This window comes from Homo sapiens, chromosome 3, assembly GCF_000001405.40.
Source record: "Homo sapiens chromosome 3, GRCh38.p14 Primary Assembly".
NCBI lineage: Eukaryota > Metazoa > Chordata > Mammalia > Primates > Hominidae > Homo > Homo sapiens.
The window spans coordinates 194,000,159-194,026,667 of record NC_000003.12 but is presented as its reverse complement, the minus strand read 5'-3'; the positions used below and the strand labels follow the sequence as shown (position 1 = coordinate 194,026,667).

At 45.1% G+C, this 26,509-nt stretch overlaps 2 long non-coding RNA genes across 3 annotated transcripts in view, besides 2 other annotated features; both read left to right on the top strand.

The window, feature by feature from the left end:
- Positions 1-21,212, top strand: part of LINC02028 (long intergenic non-protein coding RNA 2028) — a 65,515-nt gene extending 44,303 nt beyond the window's left edge. The window contains exons 2-3 of one of the 2 annotated variants that reach the window (NR_136179.1): positions 11,033-11,117; positions 21,014-21,212. This is a non-coding gene — a long non-coding RNA (long intergenic non-protein coding RNA 2028). Of the gene's footprint in view, positions 1-11,032; positions 11,118-16,090; positions 16,706-21,013 lie in introns of those variants that run through there. The other variant, NR_136180.1, reaches the window with a different exon arrangement.
- Positions 22,435-22,950: an enhancer, noted in NCBI's record as "H3K4me1 hESC enhancer chr3:193721507-193722022 (GRCh37/hg19 assembly coordinates)". NCBI's record gives its function as "activates a minimal SCP1, AML or CMV promoter by ChIP-STARR-seq in naive H9 embryonic stem cells {active_cell/tissue: H9 hESC(naive)}" and the evidence as "EXISTENCE:reporter gene assay evidence [ECO:0000049][PMID:30033119]".
- LINC02026 (long intergenic non-protein coding RNA 2026) overlaps positions 23,009-26,509 on the top strand; it is a 46,288-nt gene continuing 42,787 nt past the window's right edge. Inside the window, exon 1 of the long non-coding RNA NR_033944.1 lies at positions 23,009-23,083. This is a non-coding gene — a long non-coding RNA (long intergenic non-protein coding RNA 2026). The remainder of the gene's footprint in view (positions 23,084-26,509) is intronic.
- Positions 23,314-23,483: a silencer, noted in NCBI's record as "silent region_15011". NCBI's record gives its function as "represses an Ori minimal core promoter by ATAC-STARR-seq in GM12878 lymphoblastoid cells {active_cell/tissue: GM12878}" and the evidence as "EXISTENCE:reporter gene assay evidence [ECO:0000049][PMID:35858748]".

Here is a 26,509-nt window from a genome sequence, read left to right as displayed (position 1 = left end):
TTTTAAGACAGGACCAAATCATGAGATGATTTTTAGTCACATGAATGCACCATGTTCTCTCTTACTTCCAGGCTTTGCACATATTGTTCTCTCTGTGTGGAACTCCATACCCTTTCTCTTATTTTTCTTCCTCCCATCATATTCCCTGCTTTCCACCCATCACATCTTGGTCAGTTCTTCCACATTTAGATTCCGAGTTTGGATTAAGTGGTCCAGCTCTATGCCATTTAGTATCCAATATTTCCTCCAGTTCATGGTATTATGTACTTTTCTCTCTCCCTGACTGAACTGTAAACTCTATATGGGCAGGAAATGTATCTATTATTGTATCCCAAATAAAACTGCCTTAAATAAGGATGATGGGTGCTGACTCTTGGAAATAAATATTTTAGAGAGTAAGTCTTAACATTGTTTCAATTCAGTAGCTTGGGGATGTAACCAATGACCCAGTTTCCTTTGCTCTCTCTGCTCCGCCTTCTGTGTGTCAGCTTTACCCTAAGACAGGCTCCTACTTTGGTTACACGTTGTCTGCTAAGAGTCTCTAGGATACTTGCTTTGCTGTTCCATGTGCTGAGAAAGAAAGAGAGCTGATTGTTCCTCCTCTAACCATCAAACAAAAGTCCTGGGCTTTTGTCTGACTGCATGATCTGAAGTCAAGTGCCTATCTTTGAACTGTAGAAAGAGGAAATGGATTACGCATTAATCTAAATGATTAATTTAAATCCTGGAGCTAGGATGGGATCAATTGTATGAGACTGGCATAGCTGCTCTGAAGGAGGGGAAAGAGGGGATGGGTCTTGGAGAGGGCAACCATAGTATCTTGTAGAGTGAGGGTGGCAGGAGGAAGGACTGGTGGCAAGGAAGTCCCCCTGAGAGAGCAAGTCCTAGACAGAGATCCTAGGCAGGTTATTAGAGAAGGGTCTCAGATTCACATGGACCAAGAGTGGAACCATTTACTTCTTACTGAAGTAGAAGAATTTGCAGCAAGGCAGACACTACTTTTAGGATGGGGGTCGAAGCTGAGCTAGAACACAGCTATCAACGGGACAACAGCAATGTGAGATGAGGCTGCAGAGTTGGGGAGGAGCCAGATGATGCAAAGTTTTGGAGGCCACTTTAAAATTGGGGGGATTAAACATGAGCACTGAAGAAGCTTCAGCTTTTGCACTGAGTGATAAGAATGTTGCTCATCTGTCAAAAACCTTTATTGTTAACAATAACAACACACACACATGCACACACACATGCACACGCACACACACACACATACACACATGCACACACACATACACACATGCACACACATACACACACATGCATACACATACACACATGCATACACACATGCATATACACACATGCACACACACATGCACACGCATGCACACGCATGCATACACGCACACACATGCACACACATACACACATGCATACACACACGCACACATACACACAGCACACACATACACACATGCACACACACACATGCACACACACATACACATGCATACACACACATACACACATACACACACACAAATAGGGCAGCTGCTCAGATGTGTCTACAGACTGATTGCCAGGTCTTTGCTTCTTCAAGAGAAGTGATTGTTTAAGACCAGGCTCTTCAAACTGGGGTACATGGTCCCCTTTTGAAGTGGTGGCCCAGGGAAGTACATTAAACCACAGGCTAAGCTTGGTATATCTTCATGGGATATGTTTACTTAGTGGTAGGTAATTTGAAATATTTGGATAGTAAAACAAAGATACAAAGATACATTATGAAGTTGTAGGATGTAAATTCTGCATGCTTTTTTTTTTTTTTTTTTTTGAGACTGTCTCACTTTGTCGCCCAGGCTGGAGTGCAGTGCAATGCAATCTCGCAGTCTCGGCTCACTGCAACCTCTGCCTCCCAGGTTCAAGCTATTCTTATGTCTCAGCCTCTTGAGTGGCTGGGAGTACAGGCATGCACCACCACACCTGGCTAATTTTTTGTATTTTTAGTAGAGACAGGGTTTCACCATGTTGGTCAGGCTGGTCTCGAACTCCTGACCTCAGGTGATCCACCCACCTTGGCCTCCCAAATTGCCTGGATTACAGGCGTGAGCCGCTGCGCCCGGCCTCTGCATGCATTTTTAAGCTCAACGTTAGGCTTTAGGTAATATTTGAGTTTGGAGGTAGGTGAGAGGGAGGCTGGGGTGAGTGTATAGAATACGCAGGACCCTTTCTGGCACATATCTGGGGGCCTGGTTTCATTTTTCTCTGCCACTTGGGGTACGTTAGGGGAAAACAAAAACCACTGGCTCCCATGGGCAGAGCTGCAGATGACTGAGCTTCAGGGATGGGCACTAACACCACTCTTTTATAAGACACTACAATACCATAGCTCCAGGTTAGGCGGCGAGGTCCCTCCTCCTTTCACCACATAATAAGATCCTCAGGGACTTTGGGGAGGTAATAATGGCCCTTGGATCTATCCAAGACAGAAGCATCTGCATTCGGTGAAAACTGTGCTTCAGCTAGTTCTCTTACAGTGAGGTAGGTGCTAGAGCCTGCCCAGTGTCAAACACATGCCATCTGCACTTCTGGCGATGACCCAAGTGAAGGGTGGGGATGGGGCCTGGGTACCTCCTCCACATCCTGCCTGTCACTAGCTTCTGTGCAGTAAAGGTTATGTTTGTTTGAGGTCATTGCCTTTTCTTTTCTTTCTCTCCCTTTTCTTTTTTATAAATCTCTGTTCTTGGCATCCTTCCCTCCCTTACCCGTACACTTTCTGTTCTCTGCATTTCTTCTGGACAATGGGTGCTAAGCTTTTAATTGTTGTGCTTTTTCTCCGAGTGGCCACTCAAATCAGGAGGGACGTGTCTACTTGGTTATTCAATGAGGTTTTGTCCCTGAGGGCTATAAGGAGGTGAAAGGATTTGGAATTCTTTTTCTTTTTTTTATGAAGAACTTTCTCTGTTCTTCAATGGGTAGTTCTTCAATGATCAAGCCCTGGGGGCGATTAACCTCTTGATATCTGTGAGTGTTTGAAACTTCCCGCATGTGCCTCAGCAATGGCCTCCCCTGGTGTGTGTTTTGAAATTCTGCAGGGTGGCCTCTCTCCTACAAAGTGGGACCTGTTCTATATGGACCTGAGAGAGGAAGGAAATGTCAGACAGGTGGAGTTATGAGAATTACCCAGAGGAAACAGTCAAAATGTCACTCTATAACTAATTCACGTGTAATTGAAATGTAATAATGTACAGTGAGCCATTTTGCATTTATGTACCATCTTTCATCTGACCATGGAAAATATTAATCTTTTCAGGTCCCTGGTCTGGTTTATGCTAACAGTCCTGCCTATGATTTGTTTTGTTTTGTTTTTCCTAGTCCCTAAGGCAAAGAAAGAGTAACTTACTTATTCAAGTTTGTACAATAGCTCCTCAGATTTGAGAGAAGTTGGTGTTGGTGTTATTTTCAGGTCCTTGGAACAGGAGAAAGGGTTGGAAAACAAAGATCACTTTTCTCTGGCCAAATGGAATCACCCAACAAAGTACCTTCCTGATGGGCCAGCTATTTCAGGTGAGCACATCGATTCAGTTCAACAATATGAGGACAAAACAAAAAAACACCAATGTGACCTGTGCTTTTCACGTGTTTCTGGTGAGAGGCGAGGGTGTGGTATGGCCTTTTGCCCCCTGGATCTCTGACTGTCAGCTTAGGAATTTTTCTGGTTAATTTTGTGAATGCTGCTGGACACTTGCAGGACCTATTTCAGGGGTCTAAGGCAGGTCTTTGAAGGTAATGGTGTCAGAGTTTGGGGATAACATGAAAATGCCAGCAACATTCAGGAAGACGGGTCGGGGTGTATTCCATTTGGCGATCTGTGTTCTTCCCAATCCCAATTCAACTTTGTCCATGGAATAAATGAAATGCTTCTGGAAGCTAAATTTCTATCACTTATGGATCTCAGTTGATAAGGCTGATGGAGATCACTTGATCTCTCTATGAATGCCTATTTATTTATAATTTACATCTAATCTATTTCCACAAGAGATGTTAGGGATCTTATAACAAATGTTTTAAGTGAAAACCAAAGATCAAAAACAACGGAAAAAGAGAGGGGAAAATGTACTTCAAGTGGTAACGAATATAGCCACTATGATTGAGTAGGAGCTTTAACCCTAAACCTACAGCAAAAGACTCATATGGAGGGAAGGCAAACCCACCAAGTTACGTCATGCATTTTGTCTGGTAGAAAGAAAGAGATGAGAAAACTTGTCTAGCACTGTATTGATTTCTGAAATAAATTTATATTAAAGACCTAAATACAAAGCACATGGAAAAAAACACAATGTATTTTTCACAGCATTTTTGCAACAGATGTCACCGTGTGTGTGTGTGTGTGTGTGTGTGTAGGATGTGGGTGGGGGGTAATTGTGACATTTCATCAGTCTCAGGAATTCTCTTCTATCCTCCCTCTGCCTTTGAGGATGAGGGGGTTTAGGGTGGGTAGGAGAACCATTGTTCTCCTACATGGTGTTAACCGTGTTAACCTTGGTTAACACCCAGCATCCAGGCAGCAGGTCCTGGTGGACAGTCCCCTGCAGCTCTTCCTTCTGGTCTCACTTGGTCCAAGACAAAATCCTAGAAGAAGTGGAGGCAGCAAAGCTTAGGCCATATGGCAGCTCCTTGGGTAGGGGATATCAAGGAACTGGGACAACCCCACTGAAACTGCACACAATAAGGAGAGAGAAGTCCCCTAAAAGAAATTGGAATGCTGTTACCAAAAGAAGGACTTAGTTCCAGCAGGGTACTCTAACTCCAGCCCAAGATGGTTTTGCTTAAAGAAATTCTGTGATTCAAAAGTAAAGCTGCTTTTCACAGTATTCTATTATCTGAGCTATCCTAGTGATATTTTCATGCTTAACTGACCTGATGATTGTCCAGTAATCAACCTGAGAGCCTGCAGGATATGCACGTTTTGTCATCAGGGAAGGGGCCACTGGGCTGCTTTGTTCCTGGGCCTGCTGTGACAAATGACCACAAACGAGGTGGCTTAAAATAGCAGACCTGCAGCTGGGGGCGGTGGCTCATGTCTGTAATCCCAGCACTTTGGGAGGCTGAGGCGGGCGGATCAAGAGGTCAAGAGATCGAGACCATTTGGCCAACACGGTGAAACCCCATCTCTACTAAAAATACAAAAATTAGCTGGGTGTGGTGGTGCACGCCTGTAGTCGCAGCTACTTGGGAGGTTGAGGCAGGAGAATTGCTTGAACCAAGGAGTCAGAGGTTGCATTGTGCTGAGGTCATGCCACTGCACTCCAGCCTGGTGACACAGCGAAACTCCATCTCAAAAAACAAACAAACAAACAAACAAACAACAACAACAAAAATACACAGCAGACGTGCACTCTTACGGTTCTGGAGGCCAGAAACCCACGTGTCCACAGCCCATACTCCCTCAGAAGGCTCAAGGGAAGAATCCTTCCCTCCCTCTTCCTAGCTGCCCCTGGAAGCCAGCAATCCTTGGCTTGCCCCTGCACCTTTCCAGTTTCTGTCTCCCTTGTCAACACGGCTTCTTCCTTGTGTGTCTGTGACTTCACACAGCACTTCCTTCTCTGTGTGTTTTTCTTCTTTCTTAAGGACATTAGATTCCGGGCCCACTTCAATCCAGTATGACTTCATCTTAAAGTATATTTTAATTACATTTGAAAATACCCTATTTCCAAATAAGTTCACATTGTAAGATTTTGGATCAACATGCTTGTTGAACGATGCTATTCAACTGCATACAGGCAGAGAATGGAGCTTGCTCTTCTAGTGGTTGAGGAAGTCAGGTTTAGATGTATAAAAAAAATAGGTTTGATCTGAAATCCATCAAGAAGGAATGTTTCTTCACTGAAAATTAACAGGGACTTCTTTTGGTCTGACTCAAAAAATTTTAAATGTGCTTGGATTTTAAAATCGGAAAAAAAAGGATATTATAAGATTCTTAGAGGCCGGGTGCGATGGCTCATGCCTGTAATCCCAGCCCTTTGGGAGGCTGAGGCGGGTGGAGCATTTGAGGTCAGGAGTTCAAGACCGGCCTGATCAACATGGTGAAACCCCGTCTCTACTAAAAATACAAAAATTAGCTGGGTGGGGTGGCACACGCCTGGAATCCAGCTACTTGGGAGGCTGAGGCAGGAGAATTGTTTGAACCCAGGAGACGGAGGTTGCAGTGAGCCAAGATCATGCCATTGCATTCCAGCCTGGGTGACAAGGGAAGACTCTGTCTCAAAAACAAACAAACAAACAAACAATTCTTAGACTAGTCCCCAAGTCACCAAGACTTAGTTTTTAGGGAGTCCAACATGGAGTCAGTTTAAGTTGCTTTCTCATGAGAGAAGAAACAATGTTTCTCTTTGGACGAGTTAATGGGTTGGAGCAGGATTGTAACTAGACCTTAAGTGCCCGCATTTGTCTTAGTTGGTGTGCTGTCCCCTTGGCTTCAGGCCTATCTTTTGTTTTTCTTCTGCTCCTTCTCACCTTCCTTTGCTCAAATTTAGAGCTGACCATCCCTTGAGTTACTTTAAGAGAAGAAGGGAAGGGGTCTGGTCTCTGTGATTCAGAAAAAGAACAGAAGTTCAGAAACAAGGTGTGTGTGTCCCTCTCAGCTTTTCCTCTTACTCTAGGCTAAGTCACGGAGATGTGGTTCCCATGGCAACCCCGAGGCATGACCATGGAGATTTCGCTGGGTGTCAACTCAGCTCTTTTTTCCACTCTCATGTAACACAGCAGTCATATGGAGAAATGCAATGTGGCTTTTTATTTTTCTTGATGCAGGTCTGGCCTGTGGGATTAGGGCATGGGGTTTTGAGCAGTGAGGCTGGGATGGTGGACAAGGGCCAGATGGTCAGCATCAGTGAAGGCCATGCTAAAGGTGGGCTTTACCTAGGAGGCCTCTTTTTCTCAAACTGTGGTGTCAGACCACCTACATCCGAATCCCTTGTGGATACGTGTTGAAAATGTCGATTTCTGGGCCCCACCCCAGACCTCCTAAACCGGAATTCAGGGAGTGGCTCATACATTTGCACTTTTTGCAAGCACCCCAGGAAATTCCTGTGGCAACTAACATTTGAGAACTACTACTACAGGCAACGTGAGCGTGGCAGGTGGTAGCAGGGTTGTGTCTTAGCAAGAATGTTTGATATTGGAGGAGGCAAAAAAAGCTAGGAGGCCGTTTAATAACCCAGCATTTTAACAAAACACTGAATATTATGCTTACTCTGTGCCAAGCACTATTTTATTTGCTTTAGAAATATTAACTTATTTAATTCCCATATGTACCCAGGAATAAGTTCTGTTATTATCTCCACCCTCTGGAGGAGGGAATTGAAGCACAGACGCTTGCTAAGATGAAAGGGGTAGTGACCTACTGGAGGAGGGACTTGAGGAAGGGGACACCAAGTGTAACCAGGAGGGTGATGGAACCATGAGCCAGAACCTGACAGCGGAAGGCGTCCTGGTGCTTCTGTACCTGAGTTACCAGTATCTTCCCCTGTCTGTTGTGAGCTTTTTCAAGGTAGGGATGCAGGAATCCATCACTCATAGCTTCCAAAATGCAGCACATGGCAGACTGCACAAGCATCAGACTCAAAACTGGGGGGGGTGGGTCAAGGTCCTAGAATCAGCTCTGTCAGTAATTTGCTGTGTGGTAAGTTCCTATCACTTTCTCCATCAGTAAAGTGAGGCTGTTGGATATGTGATGTTTCTCCCACTGTAAAATGGGCAAAAGGCCACAGGGTTGCACAACTCCAGGATGGGGGTGGATGAGCATCCACCTGGGTCTTCCAAAGATGATGTGAACAGTGGAACTTGGGCTCATACAAGATGGGGTTACGGAAGAGGAGGATGGGCCACAGGGGTACCTGCCAGAGACTGAATGAGTTAATATAGGTGAAGTGTTTAGGCTATGCCTGGGACTTGCACGTGTTGGTTATTCTTGTTGTTAGTATCTCTAGATTTCTTTCAGCTTGAACACCCAGTGTCAGAGATCCCTTGATTCCCTCCTCCCCCGAGACAGGAATGGTGGATCAGAACCTGAAGGATAAAAATAGTCAATAGGGAGACAATTTTCTCTCTTCGGCAGTTTGTTCCTCCTACTCAGTTACCTCTACTCAATCCCTTTGGCCCTGTTTCTAGCATCTTCTTCACTGGAAATTCCTACCTCCAGGTTAAGTGAGGAAAGCACAGGCCTTGGTAGAGGCTGACACGCCCAGCACCGTTTCTGCTGGGCTGGCCCTGCCTCTGTGGATGGTCAAAGTCAAATGTGGACGATACATTTTCCCCATGGAGGCTGCTTTGCCTAATGTTAAACACCATGGCTGGGGTATCTATGCAGTGTTGCAAGAAGCCTGGAGAAATGGAGATGGGTGTTCTCAAGCCACCTCTGTATAATGATTTTATTTTTAAAAATCTAAAGAAAATATCTTCTGCTGTTCCTAAACAATATTAATCAGGCAAAGACACTTTGATCCATTTTTCTGAGCACACTTAAACCTGGAAATGTTGTCTTCTGAGAAATTTCAAGGAAATCAGTTTCTTATTTGGTATTCATTCAACCAATTTTTATTAAGTGTTTATTTACTACACATGGAGATATGTTAACATGTCAATGACCCTGTATACTATTTATATAGACCTGAGGTAAGACTCGTTTTGCAATCCTCTACAACACACTCACTTTGCTGCCTCAGTGAGCCTCGGTTTTCTAGTCTACCTCATAAGGATGTTCTGGGGATCAAACGTTTTATTATACATCATGGAAATCACATGTAAGTGGGAAATGTCAGTACTAGGAATGTGCTGTTAGGACAAAGCCTTAGCTCTGTAGATAATCTTACAATTCTTCCTAGTTAATGACACGTTTAGGTGACTTCTATTACGACCGGCAACAGAAGAGAGCCTGTGTTGTTGCAGTGAGAAAGCTGCCTTGGTCTGTCTTTTAGGCCACTTGCTTTGCTACTAGACTTGCCTTAAAACCCTTTGGGGAGTAGGGACCCCTCCAACTTCCCATACAATTTTCCCAAGTCAATAATCCTCCAAGGCCATTGACTTCCAAAGTTTTTCACCAACTATGAATGCTCCCCCAATCATATAAGAAAATATTCACTTCTGTATCAATGAATATTTTCTTATATGACACCATCATAAGACACCTGCTGGTCTGCAGGGAAGCATCCTTCTTCCCACTCCCTCGTGATGGACTCCTCGAAAGCTGGCATGAAAGGAAAGACCTGTGAGGGGAGATAACCTAATATAACATTTCTCAGTAGACCTATTTGATTCCTGTTGGACGTGGGCTTAAATAATTGGACCAGTCAGTGGAAGAATGGAGGGCTGAGGTAAGAATTCTTTCTTGGGCTATTTGCCAAGTCAGAGCTGAGAGGCATGAGGATGGTCAGTGTCCTTCTTGGGTTGCTCTGCTCCTGAGCCCCGTCCTTGGTTAGCCAATAAGGTCTTAAGTTTTGAAAGGCACCAGTGTGACAGGGCCCGATTCACAAGTCTCTAGGCCACTCTACGAGGTCCATAAAGATCCCCAAAGTCACTGACTGCTCTTGAGGACCTCATGATATCTTTTTCCTTGCAGACCCATCCTACTCATTCAGTAAATCCTCAGACTTCAGACTGGAGCAGAACACAGGTCAATTTCCTGGGCCACTGTAGACCTGGCCACTCCCTACATCTGCACAGCCACGCGTGGCTGCTGAGCACCAGGAATGTGGCCGTTAGCATGAGATATTGGGATGTATTGAGATGTGCCGTAAGCATGAAATAGTCACCAGCGCCTGAAGACATGGTGTGGCAATGGGAACGTAGAATAGCTCATTCACAGTTCTTAAATGCTGATTACATATTGAAATGATGATATTTTGAATATATTGAGTTAAAATATATTTTAAAATTAAGTCTACTTGTTTTTAACGTGGCTATTAGAAAATTAAAAACCACTCAAGTGCCCCATATTTCTATTGGTGAGTTTCAGTCTCGGTTCCAAGCTCACATTGGAAGAGCCTTAGAACCCAGGTGACGAGGTTTGGTCAGAAGAGACAGACTTAGGCTTTCTTACTTCAACGGGACCATTGTTCACTTGCTGTGAGCGCAGGGCCTGTGATGATATCATGGACTTAATCATGCTTCTTATTTGACTTGGTTTAAAAAAACTCTGAAATCCTATGAATTGTTTGGATTTTAGCATCTTATTTTGAAAAGAATTCTTTCTGTTATGGGCTGAACTGTGTCCACTCAAAATTCATGTATGGAAGCCTTAACCCGCAGTGCCCCAAATGTGATTGTATTCAGAGATAAGGCCTTGAAAGCAGTGAATAAGTGAAAAATGAGGCCATTTAAGTGGGCCCTCGTCCAATCTGACTGGTGTTCTTCCTTATTTATTTATTTATTTGAGACACAGTCTCACTCTGTTGCCAGGCTGGAGTGCAGTGGCACGATCTCGGCTCACTGCCACCTCTGCCTCCCAGGTTCAAGCGATTCTCCTGCCTCAGCCTCCCCAGTAGCTGGGACTACAGGTATGTCCTTCCTTATGAGAAGAGGAAATTGGGCACAAAAAGAGATACCACGAATGTCATAGGGGAGAAAGATCATGTGAGGACACAGAAGAAGGCAGCTGGCCATCGCAAGTCAGGAGACCTCAGAGGAAACCAAGCCTGTTGACACCTGAATCTTGGACTTCCAGCCTCCAGGACTGAGAGAAAATTAATTTTTGTTGTTTAAGTCATCCAGTCTGTGGCTTTTTGTTATGGCAATGCTAACAAACTAATACACTAGCCTATTTCATGGTAGAACTGGAGAAAGCCTGGTGACAAGAGAACAATTTCTCCACGGCCAGAAATCTGGCTTCCTGGGTCCATCTGTCGGGACCTGAAAGAGAGCTATGAACTTTTTATCACGTTGCCTCTGCCTCAGATCAGTGTCTGTTTTCCAGTCCCATGTCCATATTGTATGCTCCTCTGTCTCCTCTTCTAGTAACAGTCTTTTTTTTCTCTGACAGATGATGAAGGTTTAAGAAGCAGCATCATCAGCGAACTGTGTTTTGAAGATTTGAGGGAAGGGCTGACCTCAGGATTTTATACTAGGTTTGTGTAAACACACAGGATTCTTTTTCTCTCTGTCCCAAATTTAATCATCGCACTCATTCAAATGAAATATGAAGTCATAAGTATTAAAATATGCATGAGATTTTGAACATGTGTATTGAGAGAAAGCATTTTGTTTTCTAGAAAACTCATTTCTGCTGGACAGTGGGGGTCACCAATACGTTGGAAGGGAGAGTGCTAAGCTAAATGTCCTCTAGGGTCTTTTTCTAGTTATAAGATGACCAAATCTATAATTCCTGGTTCAGAGTTTCACTCACCATCCATGGGAGCTATCTCAGGGATGGAGAAAGAGAATTCAGATCAGGTGAATCCCTGAGTGGTGAGCCTCAGCCACGGCTTCATCTTGACAGACATTTGCCCTCTAGAAACAGACTTAAGGTCAATCCCTTTGCCAAGAAGTCAAGAAACTGCCTTCTCAACGAGGCCAGTAAAATCGGCATAAAAGACCTCCAGAGACATCAAGTCTCCCTAGAGAGACTTTCTAAACTTTCTGAACATGTTGTCTATGTGCTGGCCTGAACCCAGAATGTACTGAAGGGAGAAAAAATACAAAAGACGATGATAGACCCAAGGATTATCTTCCTGGCATTCCCTAGAACAGCTGTCTGGCAAATGTTACACCACGTCTGAGATTATTTTAGAAACTTTGTCTTGAAGAAGAACAAGGAGAGAGAATACCAGACAGATTTGCCCTCATTTTTTGTCACAGAATAAGAATTTCAAGGACATTTTTACTTTCAGTGAGATCATCCTGGCAATGCTCTTTTCATTTTTTGAAACTTAAATCGTGTCACATCTAATAAATTTATAGCTGTGTGTGGTTACAGCAATGAGTTGGTACCAATGGCTATTTAGGTCTTCTCCTCCCTCTTCTTGTTTCTTTTCCTCATCATCATGAGAATTAGACTATTCCAAAGATGTTTGAAACAAGAAAATTTCACCAAGTTTCACTAGAAACCTGTCCTAAATGAAATGCCTATCTAGTGGTAAAATGACAAATGAAATTTGCTTTCCTAAATTTCTTTTTAGGCCTCATTTTCTGCCCACATGTCATATTTTCTGTGTTCAATGAAACAGATCATGCCAGAAATAGAGAAAACAAAATTACAGCAAGACAATGATCACAGTACAGTATCATAAAACTGAGTATAGGCCTGGGGTCTCTATCTGTGGGAATGAATGAGAGCTTGGCTTAGCATGACCCCCTCACCATGTTCTTGTTCATATCAGAATTCCAAGTGAAGGGGCCGCTTGTGAACATGCATCACTAATGTTAATGTAGCCTCTGAACTATGGATGCTTGTCTCACAGCCATCACCGGAAAATGCCACCTTAGTCATTCTATGTTTCTGTGTGTGCATATGTCTGTGTTGTGTGTGTGTGTGTGTGTGTGTGTGTGTGATAGAGTGAAACCCTCTGTGGAATGAGGTTTCCTTTTCAAGAGGTAGCTCTGGCCTGAGGAGCTGAGAAGAGTGTTCCATACTTGTCACGGATGAGGTAGTGTGGGGTTGCAGGGTGAGATGTGATGGGAGAAGGAACTATGGGATAGGGAAAGAATGTATCCAAAGGCCTGAGTTCTAAATTGGATTCGATTTTCTTTTTCCTAGTGAATCAATGTGAAAATGTTGGTTAGAGTCCCAGGCTAGCCCATAGACGCTTGTTGATGCATGATGTAGGGGATATACTATGCATTTTTTTCTATTATTGTTTTCATTTTGTGTATGTGGAAGGCTGTGTGTGTGTATGTGTGTGTGCACGCGCATGCATGCATGCGCATCCATGCTTGGTTACATTAGCTTGTGTATGTATTGGTTACATTATACACTAATTATGGGGAGCTTCTGTGGCTAATTGGGAAATCTAATCATAATTTGTAACATTATTTCCAATCTCTAAATGATACTTTAAAAAAGAACTTTTGGGGACAGACGCGGTGGCTTACATATAATCCAGCACTTTGGGAGGCCGAGGTGGGCAGATCACGAGGTCAGGAGATCGAGACCATCCTGGCTAACACAGTGAAACCCTGTCTCTACTAAAAATACAAAAAATTAGCTAGGTGTGGTGGCACACACCTGTGGTCCCAGTTACTCAGGAGGCTGATGCAGGAGAATCGCTTGAACCCGGGAGGCGGAGGTTGCAGTGAGCTGAGATTGTGCCACTGCACTCCAGCCTGGGCGACAGAGTGAGACTCCGTGTCAAAAAACAAAAAAAGAGAAAAGAAAAAAGAACTTTTGGAACATAGTGAGATTGTGAGTTGGAGACAGCCTGTTCTACTTGGAGAGGATGGAGGGTCATTGCAGCTTCCTGTGGAATGCTGCGGAAACGCTCCAAGCATCCCTAGGACATGGCATTTCTTTGAGAAAGGAGAGTTGAAATACAGATCCAAGTTAGGCACAGCACACAGAGAGAACTTGACGTCTGCAGACTTTACTCGTCTTTCACAAAGGAAATGGGGATGTGCTAACTGCCTGTCTCATCCAATTCACAATTTTCATTTTCTTTCTTGTCTGCCTTTCCCAGTTTATATTAAGTTTAATTATAGGCTCACTAGGTGTTATAGTTTTCCTAAGGTTTGTAAGAAAAACACACTTTCTGATCTCCCCAGGTGCATGAAGACAATGAAGAAGGGAGGGAAGGAGAGAGGGAGTGAGGGAGGGCAAGCCAGCTATTGGTAGACAGAAGAGTCATACACTGTAAAACATTTCATTGGAAATTCATAATTTAGCAGAAAAGCAGTAGACAGCAAGAAGAATATAACAGGAAGGTATATTGCTCTGTGTGGTGGTAAGCTGGTGCTGATTTTGTTTATCTTACATGCTGGGTGATAGCACATTCATTTCTGGTTGTTCTCCCTTTTAAGGAAACCAGCATTGACATTACAGATTTAGATTTTGTAGTTTTTTTTAAACACATTTATTAAAAGGTCCTTATGGATGGAAGCTATTTCAGAACTCTTCAGTGTTTTGTTTTTCAGAAAATTTTTTTCATTGAATGAGTCAGATGTAAAGGTAAAATGAAAGAGCTGCTGTTAACTAAAGGTTGACTGTAAACGACAATGAAGTCTCATAAATTTAAGCTACTGGGGATGTAGGACTGATTTGCACACATTCATTGCAAACAGGGCTTTCTAGAAGCACACCAAGCTGTCTCAACTGACAGCTTGTCCTTGGTTACTACCCTGTCCTTGAGGAAGGCAGCCTATTTCCTGGAAGAAGTGACAAAAATATATTTAATATCCCCCGCTTTCACTCGCGTCTGGGAATTTTCTTTAAGTTGTTTATTTTGAAATAATTACATGCTTACAGGAGAGCTGCAGAAATAGACAAAGAACTTTTTAACCTGAACCTAAACACTTGAGTGTGTAATTCCTACAAACAAGGACATTCTCCTACATAATTATAGTGCAATCATCAAAATAAAGAAATTCACATCAAAACATTTCTGCCATCTAATCCTCAGATGCCATTTAAGTTTTGACAATTATTCAAATAATATTTGTTCTAGCAAAAGGACCCAATCCTGGAACACCTGTTGCATGTAATTGTCATGTCTCTTTAGCTTCCTTCAGTCAGAAGAGTTCCTCGATCTTTCCTTGACTTTCATAACTGACACTTTTGATTGGATGTGCTGATTATTTCGTAGAATGTCTCTCAGTTTGGTTTTGTCGAATGTTTTCTCCTGATTAGATTGAGAGGTGTATTTTTGACAAGATATTTACATCTGATCAGGTGGTGCATGATTTCTACTTGACCCATTATTGGTGATGTTCACTGTAGGTTTTTTTTGGTTTTGCTTTTTTTTTTTTTTTTTTTGAGACTGGGTCCACTCTGTCACCTAGGCTAGAGTGCAGTGCCATGATCTCGGCTCCCTACAGCCTCGACCTCCCAGGCTCAGGTGATCCTCCTACCTCAGCCTCCCAAGTAGCTGGGGCTACAGGTACACGCCACCACACCTAGGTAACTTTTTGTATTTCTGTAGAGATGGGGCTTTGCCATATCACCCAGGCTGGTCTCAAACTCCTGGGCTCAAGTGCCCCACAAGTCTTGGCCTCCCAAAGTGCTGAAATTGCAGGCATGAGCCACCGCGCCCAGCCAATGTTCACTTTGATTATTCAGTTGAGGTGGTATTTGTCAGGACTATTCATTGTAAAATTACTCTTTTTCCCTTTGTCGTTAATAAGAATTTGGCTGGAGGTACTCTGAAAGTATGAAATTTCCCCATTTCTTAGTAAACATTCACCCACTAGTTCTAACATCTACTGATGTTTCTTGGCTGAATATCACTATGATGATTGCTAAATGGTGATTCTAATTCCATTATGTCTACTTTTACCAGTTGTCATTTTACTATAAAGACAGCTTTCTCTTCTTTCTGTGTATTTGTTTGTATCAGTGTGGATTTACAGATTTCTATTTTACTCAAAAGTTACAACTATTATCATTATTACTTATTTTGATAAATAAATTGTCCCAGGTTTGACCAGCAGGCGCCCTTTCAAGCCAGTTTCTATGTCTTTGTAACATGCTCTCACCATTCGTTGAGAGGCTGTGAGTCTTTGGAGTGGTAGTTCTGCCAAGCTCAACGAAAAGAGATCTCAGAGTCTAAAGACCTGGGTTGTGGTCTTCTTGGCTTCTTCCATTCCTAGTTGGGTATCACTGGGGGAGTGGTCCTTCTGTTCTAAGGTTTAAAATGGGGATAATCAGTCGCTACTGCCATCTAAAGTGGTTGCTGTGAAATTCATCCCAAAGGGAGAGATTTTAAGATAGCCAACTTCCCTTCCTAGAATCTTTCCAGAATTATTCTGTGCACTGATATTGCATGATGGCCCAATCAGCTGATGAGGTGCCGCTTGAAACATCTGTCTGCCTGTATTGTTTGTGGCCTGTGAGAGTTATTTGTTTCAATCAAATAAACATATGCTTAGCTTAAACGGCTTTTCCCTCTCATAGGTATTTGATGCAATGCAGACTGGAATCCTCCCCACAAGGATGCCCTGGCCTGAGTGGCACAGAGATCAATGCAGCAGTCATTTCCTGGGCGGGGAAAGCCCATCCACAGTGGCCCTGGAATGATGCTGGTCTTACCTTCTATTCCTAGGAAGGCCCTATCTCAAGTGGCTCTGGTCCATGCAAACAGATGGAAACGGGTGTGGGGAAGCACAGGCCTCCTACTCATGTTAAGAGAGCTGCTCAGAGGCAGGAATCCAGAACCAGGAATGTCCCCAGTGGCTGCCCAAGGTACAAGTGGCAGGCAGCGGGGAGAATGGCATGTGAAGTCATTTGTAACCTGGCCCCAGCTTGGTTTCCAAGTCTCAGAGGAGATTATGGATATGGTAGTGCCTGGCTCAGTGCTTAAAATCCATTCTCCTGCTATTTCCCTCACCTACACTCAGCCCCACAAGCCGAGATGTTTGCTGGACATTTCAGGCACTGCCACCCAGTTCTGTCTACCTTACCTGCTAACACCTGTTGACCATCCTTCATGTGAAGGCTTCCCCAAATACTTCCCAATCAAAACACTAAAAGGCAGACCTGAAATTAATAAAAATGTTAATTAAATCTGTACAACAGAAAGCATAATGCCAGTCTTTTTAATTATGAAATGTAGCATTCATATAAATTTCATTGCTTTTGAAAACAATCTATGGCTAGATTCTCCTGGGTTTGTATGATGATTACTGAAAACTGTAGAAAATCTAAAATCAAGCAAGTTGTTTATAGGCAATTACTTTCAGAAGCAAAAATTATAAAAGAACCATGAGATTTTTAAAGAGAAAAAATTACATTTGATATGAGATAATCATGCATTTTAAGATGTTTAAAATGACATGGAGTGGGGTCCCCAGACCAGGAGAGCTGAGGGCTTATGAAGGACCTAAGGGAGTGAGACCTGTTATGTAATAAGCCCCCATTCTGGGGGCAGCACCACAGAGGCGGGACCCCAGAAGTAGAAGAAGAGCCCTCCTGCACTGGGTGGTGAAGTTGGTATCAGCCCCTAGTTTGTGACCCTGGACAGATTTCTCTGCTCTCCAGCCCTCAGAGTCCTCAATAAAACAAAAACATATGCAAATATACAAAATTCCTTGCTCTCTTGTACCTCTGAAAACTCTCCCTGAAGAAGTTGAACTACCTGCTCTCTCTCTGTCCTGAAGACTCTAAAATTCTATATGTCGTCCCCTGAGCTTTGACTCCAGGAGCTGTTTATTTTGAGACTCACTTTCTGCATAGTCCATAATCACGGATTCAGCCTCTCTCACTGCTGCTGTCTCCCCTGGAGAGGAAGTGGAGCAGTCAGGTTTTGTGAGCTGGCATTCTCCCTCCCTTTGAACGTAATTGCGGCCCTGCCCTGGGGACTGGATAGAGAGAAAGGTAGGCTTTTTCCCCAGTCCATTAGTATACTGGTTTGTAGCTCTTGCCTTTAGGAAGTATATCAAAGAGAGGAAGAAATGAAGAAAAGTTATTTTGCAAAAGTGAAATTATTAGTTTTATATGGTCGCTGTAACAAATTACCACAAATTGAGTGGCTTAAAACAGCAGAATTTATTCTCTCACAGGTCTGGAGACCAGAAGTCTAAAATCAAGGTGTTAGCAAGGCTGCAGGCTCTCTCTCTCTCTCTTTTTTTTTTTTTTTGAGACAGAGTTTCACTCTTGTTGCCCAGGCTGCAGTGCAATGGCACGATCTCGGCTCACTGCAACCTCAGCCTCCCGGGTTCAAGTGATTCTCCTGCCTCAGCCTCCCAAGCAGCTGGGATTACAGGCTTCCACCACCACGCCTGGCTAATTTTTGTATTTTTAGTAGAGACGGGGTTTCTCCATGTTGGTTAGGCTGGTCTCAAACTCCCAACCTCAGGTGATCCGCCTGCCTGTGCCTCCCACAGTGTTGGGATTACAGGCGTGAGCCACGGCGCCCGGCCTGCAGGCTGTCTTCAAAGGCTCTAGGGAAGAAGCCTCCTTGAGTCTGTAAGCTCCTGGTGGTCCTAGGGGTTCTTCGGTTTGTAGCTGCATCACTTCCATCTCCTCTGTCTTCTCTTCATCTCTAGAAGGACACCTGTCCTTGGATCTAGGGCACATCCTGGTAATACAAGATGATTTCATATGGAGAATCTTAATGATACCTGCAAGGTTCTTTTTCCAAATTAAGTCACATTCGTGATTTGGGGGGTTAAGATGTGGACATCTCTTTTCGGGGGCATCATTCAACCTGCTACAGAGGGCATGACTGATGGGCTACTGGCTCTTAGCGGAGCTCTACAGTTCCTTGGGTCGTAGTGGACGAGGAGGTGTATTAGTCAGGGTTCTCTAAAGGGACAGGACTAGTAGGATGGATGTATAGATGAAGGCGAATTGACTCACATAGTCACAAGATGAAGTCCCATGATAGGCCCTCTGCCAGCTGAGGAGCAAGAAAGCCAGTCTGAATCCCAAAACCTCAGAAGTCGGGAAGCCGACAGTGTAGTCTTCAGTCTGTGGCTGAAGGCCAGAGAGAGAGAGAGCCACTGGTGTAAGTTCAAGTGTCCAAAAGCCGAAGAACTTGGAGTCTGATGTTCAAGGGCAGGGAGCACCCAGCACAAGAGAAAGATGAAGGCCAGAAGACTCAGCAAGTCAGCTTCTCCTACCTTCTTCTGCCTGCTTTATTCTAGCCGTGCTGGCAGCTGATGAGATGGTGCCCAGCCACTTTGAGGGTTGGTCTGCCTCCCCCAGTTCACTGACTCAAATGTTAATCTCTTTTGGCAACGCCCTCACAGACACATCCAGGAACAATACTTTGCATCCTTCAACCCAATCAAATTGACACTTAGCACTAACCATGACAGGAGAGTGCTGTTAACAGCGTCAGGAGTGGGGAGGATGGAAAGAGGAGGGTGCACGTAGTTCCTTCAGACGCTGGCTGGTGCTGCAATCCGTCTCTCTTCCTTCCCAAAGGAGGATGGTAGTATATCAGGAAGTTAGGCTTGGCTCTGCGGCAGTGACAAGCAACTCCAAAATCTCACAGGCTTACAATATCAAAAATATTTTCTTGCACTCACCTGATGCCTGAGAGGCTGACTGCAGCGCTGCCCCACGTTCCCTTCACTGAGGGTGCAGTAGGCCTAGAATCCTGCCAGCCTCGTGGATGGGGAGAAGAGCACATGGTAAAACTTGAGCTGGCTCTTAGATCTTCTGCCTGGAAGTGAGAGATGTCATTTCTGCACATTTCACTGGCCAGGGCAAATAGCATGGCCAAGTCTAATGTCAAGAAGAAGGAGAAATATCATCCTCTTTCAGGGAGGGGCAGTCAATATTTATGACCAACAGCGAGGCCTGCTATAGGTACCGTCCGAAGGACCCCTCTGTGTGTTGAGAAGCTGCGTAGCTTCCCTTACCACTTCCCACAGAGGCAAGATTGCTGCTTGCCCACGCTTTCTTGAGACCCTTAACACTCACTTCTTCAAGGACTGTGCCATCTGTGTGTTCCAACCATACCCCATTCTTTATCTTACGCTATCCAGGCCTTCCATCCTTCTCATTCCCTGTCTTCTAGGAAAAAAAAAACGTCAAGTTGTAGTTTTATGCCATTGTCCTGAAGAGCTGCTTATTTGGACTATGCTTTCTAAACATAACCTAAATTGAGTGTTTAAAGCATGGTTATTTTCACAGCAGCTGTAGGAAGAGCACTTTGCTCCTTCCTCTCCTTGCAGAGGCTCTGCAAAATGGTGAAGGAATTGAAGTCTCTGAAGCCTATTAAGGCAGAAGAGGCCTTAGAGAATGGGTAGTTTAGCTTTCATGAACCTGGTCGTCCACAATGGACTGCCAGGATTTTGTAAAGTCCCTAAATTGCAAGTAAAATTAGGTGAGAGTTACATGTCTAGTAAATATGTATTTTCTGGGGCCAGAAACCATATCTTATATCTAATTCTGAAAGGATTTGCAAACCCAGGAAGATGAAAGGACAACAAAGTCTAATCCAATCCCTTTATTTTACTGGTGATATTTGCAGAAATTGCAGTTAGGTTCCTTGCACCAAATGGATGATTCTATTTAATATATTACTGATACATTAAAAGCTTTTAGTTTTTAACTGATATATCAGGAGCTTTTCCCCCAAACTCAACGTTTTGTTTCAGTGGGTTTATTTCTCAAGTACTGCAACCTACTCTGGGAGAAAGTAGGACTCTTTGGAAAGTTGCATTGACTTTTAAAACCACAAGGGTATCATTTGGTGTGTTCCTGCCCCAGCAATTATTACCCTTTGAGAGCCTGCAGAGCTACCTCCAGCCTTCCCTTTGGTCTCCGTGGGGACTCATTACATTTCTAACAGTCAAGTATGAAAACTTACAGTGCTGGCTTACCAGAAGGGTTTGCTTTGGGAATTTCACAGACAGGGCTGCTTCTGTCTTGTAAAGAAATTTACATCCCATGAAGCAGAATAGGGAACGACTGTGGCAGATGATGGTAATAGAACTGCATCAATATTACATGTCTGCCAGGCAGAGAACCAATATGTTTTAACAGCACAGGTCTATGTAGCCTCTTCCTTCTCTTCCACGAAGCTGGCTGGGAGTGAGTGCTATATCCTCTTCACAGTTTAGAAAACAGAGGCTCAACATTTTAATATTCTCCAGAGCAGAGGTTCTTAACAGGACCCTTAGGTGGGGCTTCAGGGGGTCTTTGAACACCTGAAATGACCTGCAAAGACAAGTATATATTTGTATCTCCATAGGAGCGTGGGGGATGTGATTTTCATCAGATTCTACAAAGCTCTGTGACTCTGAAAGTTTCAGGACCACTACACTAGGGCTTCTCTTCTTTGTAAAATAATTGGCAGGTTAGTCCAATTATTTTTACATTCAGGCTTTTTTTTTTTTAATGTGTTTTCTCCTTTTTTTCCCTTAGTTGCTGACCTCCATAACAGCAGACAAAATTGGAAGCAAGAGTGATTTTGGAGGAGTCACACTTAGATGTTTCCCTTACCTATTTCTGTTCTGGAAATTTAAAAATCTTACTTCTCGTGACAGTCCTACATGAAAAATTAAAAATCACAAGGATTCATGGATGGAAAACTGAGACTCAGAGAATGATCACATTCACATCGTAATAAATCAGCAATAGAGTGAGTGATTGTTCCTTGGTAAGAAATCAACTCTAAACTCAGTTGGAAACCTTTGCCAATATTACTTAACACATGACAATCTGGTGTGACTCATTTTTCTTGACATTATGCAAATAAAGGAAACAAGACTGAGTGGCCTTCTGTCCGGAGAGCAGGAAATGAAGGCTGTCTGGGGCCACATGTTTCCTGGGACATGTGGTGTCAGAAATGGGTACTAGAAGAACCAGGCCTTTGTTCATGTCTTTTATTTTTTATTTTTGTTTTTTTTTAGATGGAGTCTCACTCTGTCGCCCAGGCTGAAGTGCAGTGGCACTGTCTCGGCTCATTGCGACCTCCGCCTCACCGGTTCAAGCAATTCTCCTGCCTCAGCCTCCCGAGTAGCTGGGATTATAGGCGCCCGCCACTACACCCAGCTAATTTTTGTATTTTTAGTAGAGACATGGTTTCACCATGTTAGCCAGGCTGGTCTAGAACTCATGACCTCGTGATCCACCCGCCTCCGCCTCCCAAAGTGCTGGGATTACAGGCGTGAGCCACGGTGCCTGGCTGCCATTGTTCATTTCTATTTCATGAGTGATCGGCTCTTGTTGGCCATGGCTGGAGGAGTCAGCTCCCAAAATCCACACTCTCTAGGAGTGCTGAACCATAAATAATCTATCAGGACTCCTAGATTCCACTCTCTAGAGCTGCAACCAGAAGTTCCTTCCTTCCCGGCCCTGCTTCCCACTAAAGGAAACATTTGACTTTTGGGGATGAGATGTTTCAAGCCAGCCAATCCTTCTCACAGGAAGCAGAACCCCAGCCACCATGGAGCTTATCCTTGGGGCGCAGAGAAACACTGACCTAATGCTGTAATCAAGTACTGGATTTTATTTTTAAATCTTTTTACCTCACAAGCTGACTTTATTCTGGCTAGAGGGCTCCTGAACCTCTGTAAACTCCCCAGGAGGTAATTTCCAGTGCTAATCTCGCTAACGAGGTGTCAGTTACAGAAATGGCCCACGCCCTGGTTTCTTCTAAGTGGACATTACAGTGTTTCTTCAGAGGGGCCTGTGCTGGGACACCTCGGAAATGGAAGAATTTATAGCAAGGATGTTATTTCTCACTAAGTGAGCAGAAGAGCTGGAAGATCTCTTTAGAGATCATTAGAAGGATGGGGAAACTGAGGCTCAGAGAAGGGCAGTGGCTGCCCGAGGCCACAGAGCTGAGTGGCAGCAGGGTTGGGTTAGAGACTGGACCTTGTGGCGGAGCTGGCCTGCTTTGGGCTGTTCCACACACCACTGACTTTCTAGATTGTTTCATGTTCATGGAATCATCCTCAAACTCTACTCCCCAAAATTGTACCATAGATTAACTTCGGGCACCCCCCAAGTCAAAACTTCAACAGCTAAGGGACACGGATCATGCGGCCTGCTGAACACGCCATCAAGTGGGGCAAAGTCTTCTTTCTTTGTGATCAGGGTATGCACTCTCCCTTGGCCTCTGAATAAGCTGTACCCAGGGTTCCTCGATGACTCAGCTGCAGCAGGCTATCCACCACACATGTCCGTGGCCACCACGGCGGGAACCGGGCTCACCATCACTTACCACTAGAGATGTCAAACCACCCCCCTCCTAACCCAGGCCCCACTGCGGCCTCCCTGCCCTGCTCCAGCCTCGGTCTGTTGTGCAAGAGCCAGAGGGGACTTACGATCACGGAGCCACACGCCCAGGCCCAACCCAGGCCCAGGAGCTCCACCCTAGGGAAACGCCTAAGTCAGAACAGAGCACTCCTAACCCCCCGGGGCAAGGAGGGGAGGCCAGGCAGCCGGAAGGAAACTCCTGAGCTTTTTACGGAATGCACAAGACAAAAGGTGAGGGTCTCCACGTAGGGAAAGAACGCATTATTATTTACGGCCTTGGTCTGGAGAGGAGAACATGCTGCTCTTTGCAGCCCGGCGTGTGATTCATTTCCCCCGGGAGCTGCAGGGCCGAGGCAGGGCGTGCGCTCCGGCAGCCTCCAGACAGCCGCGCACTCCCGCCCGCTCGTTTATTTATGGTGCTTTATCAGCGGCTGTGCACCGCGGCGATAAAGTTTATGAAAAGAGGCGGCGTCTCCGGCCGGCGGGCTGGGCCCGGCGCTCCTTTCCCACACTGATTAGGATCAGCCAGGGCTTTGGAAGCTGCAGTTAAGGATCTCGGGTGCCCGGAGCCTCGGCTCCCCCTTCCTGCCCCGCCCGCGGGCTGGCCGGCTGCTGGCCCGCGTGGGAGGCGAGGTCAGGGCTGCGGCCGCGGCCCTTCCCCTGGGAGCGGGAGGGAGGAGGGAGGAGGAGGAGAGAAGCCGCCCTGCGGGGGAGGGAGCTCCAAGGCCCCGGGAAGTGGGACAGCCAGAGAAAAATACCGTCCAAATATAAATGGGCAAGTCCCCACGTTAAGAGATGAACGAGAATTTTTTATTTTTTGAGACAGAGTCTCGCTCTGTTGTCCGGGTTGGAGTGCAGTGGTGAGATCTTGGCTCACTGCAACCTCCGCCTCCGGGGTTCAAGGGATTCTCCAGCGTCAGCCTCCCGAGTAGCTGGGATTACAAGCGCCTGCCACCAGGCCTGGCTAATTTTTGTATTTTTAGTAGAGATGGGGTTTCACCATGTTGGTCAGGCTGGTCTCGAACTCCTGACCTCAGGTGATCCACCCAACTCGGCCTCCCAAAGTGCTGAGATTACAGGCGGAACAGGAATTTAATAGGAATTTTTCTCCTCTGAAGGCGGTGCACCGTCTCCTCTCCCCCATTTACTTTCCTACATTCCTTTCTCCTTTCCCGTCATTTCACCTGCATTTACTGTGTCTTTGCATTAAGGCTTGATTCATTTTGTCCCTTTTCATAGCCATGTTTTGTTCAGTCCTTCAGAAGATAGAAATTGAACACCTGACTTGTGGACAGCACCTCTAAACACTGCAGAGAGAGATTCAGAGATGAATAGCCCTGGCCCTTAGGGTTCTTGCGGTCACAAGCACCGTCCAGTAAGAGCAGCCCATGGTTATGAGTAACAAGAGCAGACACTACGGCAGGCACTTGGTTTAGGGACATTGCCTTGTTTCATCCTCACGGTGACTTCAGGAGGACAGTGCCATCGTTACGCCGTTTAACAGATGGTAAAACTGAGGCCCAGAGAGGGGAGTGCCTTGCTTCAGATGACTCAGCAACGCAGTGGCTGAGCAAGGATTTGAACTCAGGCAGAATGGTGGCAGAGCCTGTTTGCCTAACTTCTAAATTTCCCTAACTCTCTAGAACAGAGGGTAGTAGGAGTGCAGCAGACAGGACAACTAACCCTGCCTGGAAAAGTCATGGTGGGCTTCCCGGAGGAGGCGTCCTTAGGCTGGGGCTTGAAGACGAGGTATTTACCAGACAAATAGTGGAGAAGAAGGCTGTCTTAAACAGAAAAAACTTCTTATGTGGTCCTGGGTTCTGAGGGCCCAGCTCTTCTCACCCTCCTTCTCCGAGGAGTGGGGGAACGGAAGTGCAGAGCCTTCGTGTTTTACCCTCCTTCTCCGAGGAGTGGGGAACGGAAGTGCAGAGCCTTTATGTTTTGTGACAGTGGAATCCCCTTCGCGGGCCACCTCCTCGATCTGAAAGGCTCTATCTGCAGCTACTGAATTCCCTTCAGCTCGTAAGTCTTAATAGCAATGTCATCCCCTTCTGAAAACTTTCCTGGACTGCTCCTTATCTTGCTGCCGGTGATTGAAAGCAATCCTTTCCTCTCTCTTCCCTCACACCTGCCTGTTTGCATTAAAGTTCTTGAGTTGGACTCCATCAGTCTTTATTTTTTATTTGTTTAATTTATTTTTTAGAGACAGGGTCTCACAATGTCACCCAGGCTGGAGAGCCGTGGCATGATAATGGCTTACTGCAGCCTCATCCTCCTGGCCTCAAGCAATCCTCCTGCCTCAGCCTGCCAAGTAACTAGGACTACAGGTGTGTGCCACCATGCCTGGCTAATTTTATTTTATTTTTTTGAGACAGAGTCTTGCTCTGTAGCCCAGTCTGGAGTGCAATGGCGTCATCTCGGCTCACTGCAAGCTCCGCCTCCTGGGTTCAAGCGATTCTCCTGTCTCAGCCTCCAGAGTAGCTGGGATTACAGGCGTGTGCCACCATGCCCAGCTAATTTTTGTATTTTTAGTAGAGAGGGGGTTTCACCATGTTGGCCAGGCTGGTCTCGAACTCCTGACCTCAGGTGATCTGCCTTCCTCAGCCTCCCAAACTGTTGGGATTACAGGCGTGAGCCGCTGCACCTGGCCTCTGGCTAATTTAAAAAAATTTTTTGGCCAGACACGGTGGCTTCCATCTTTAATACCGGCACTTCAGGAGGCCAAGGCAGGAGATTTGCTTGAGCCCAGTAGTTTGAGACCAGTCTGGGCAACATAAGAAGACCCCCATCTCTACAAAAAAAAAAATAAATAAAAAAAAAAAAAATAAGCCAGGCATGGTGGCGCTCGTCTGTGGTCCCAGCTAATACGGAGGTTAAGGTGCAAGGATTGCATGAGCCTGGGAGGTCAAGGCTGCAGTGAACTCTGATCACATTCCAGCCTGTGACTGTACTCCAGCCTGAGTGACAGAGCAAGACCCTGTCTCAAAATAAATAAATACATACATACATAAATAAATAAGTTTAATTTAAAAATAAATTTATTTCTGTAGAGATGGGTCTCACTCTTTTGCCCAGGCTGGTCTTGAACTCCTGGCCTCAAGTGATTCTCCCAAGTTGACCCCCCAAAGTGCTGGAATTATAGGCATAAGCCACTGCACCCAGCCCATTAGTGTTTATTACTAGACTGTGAGTTCCTGGAGAGCACTGGTATACTCATTTGCTTCTTACTTGCTTCTGCCCAGGCTGGTTTAGTATCCTACTCATAGAAGGTTCTTAGTAACCGCATTTGGTGAATAAATGGAGGAGAGTGGGAAGGCTGTGATCGAATAGGTATCTCTTGTCTCCTCTTTACCCCTTGATAAATTTCACAATCAAGCAAGCTAAAAATGGAGATGTGTGTCTCCACCAGACAAGGTCTGGACCACTCTCTGCCAAGACAGCACGAAGAGCAGGACACTGCCAGCAACCAGGTGGGTTGAGACAGAGTAACCCAAGCTGCTAGCCCGTCAAATCTCTCCAGACTGGGAACAGGATTAGTCCTGGGGCTTGGGTCTAGCATTGAGTCAACAAGCGGAAGTCATGTTGCCCTAGTTATTGGGGAGAGGGCTGTGAGGGCCAGGAACCAGGCAGGTCACTGCATAGTCCATCTTGAATTCA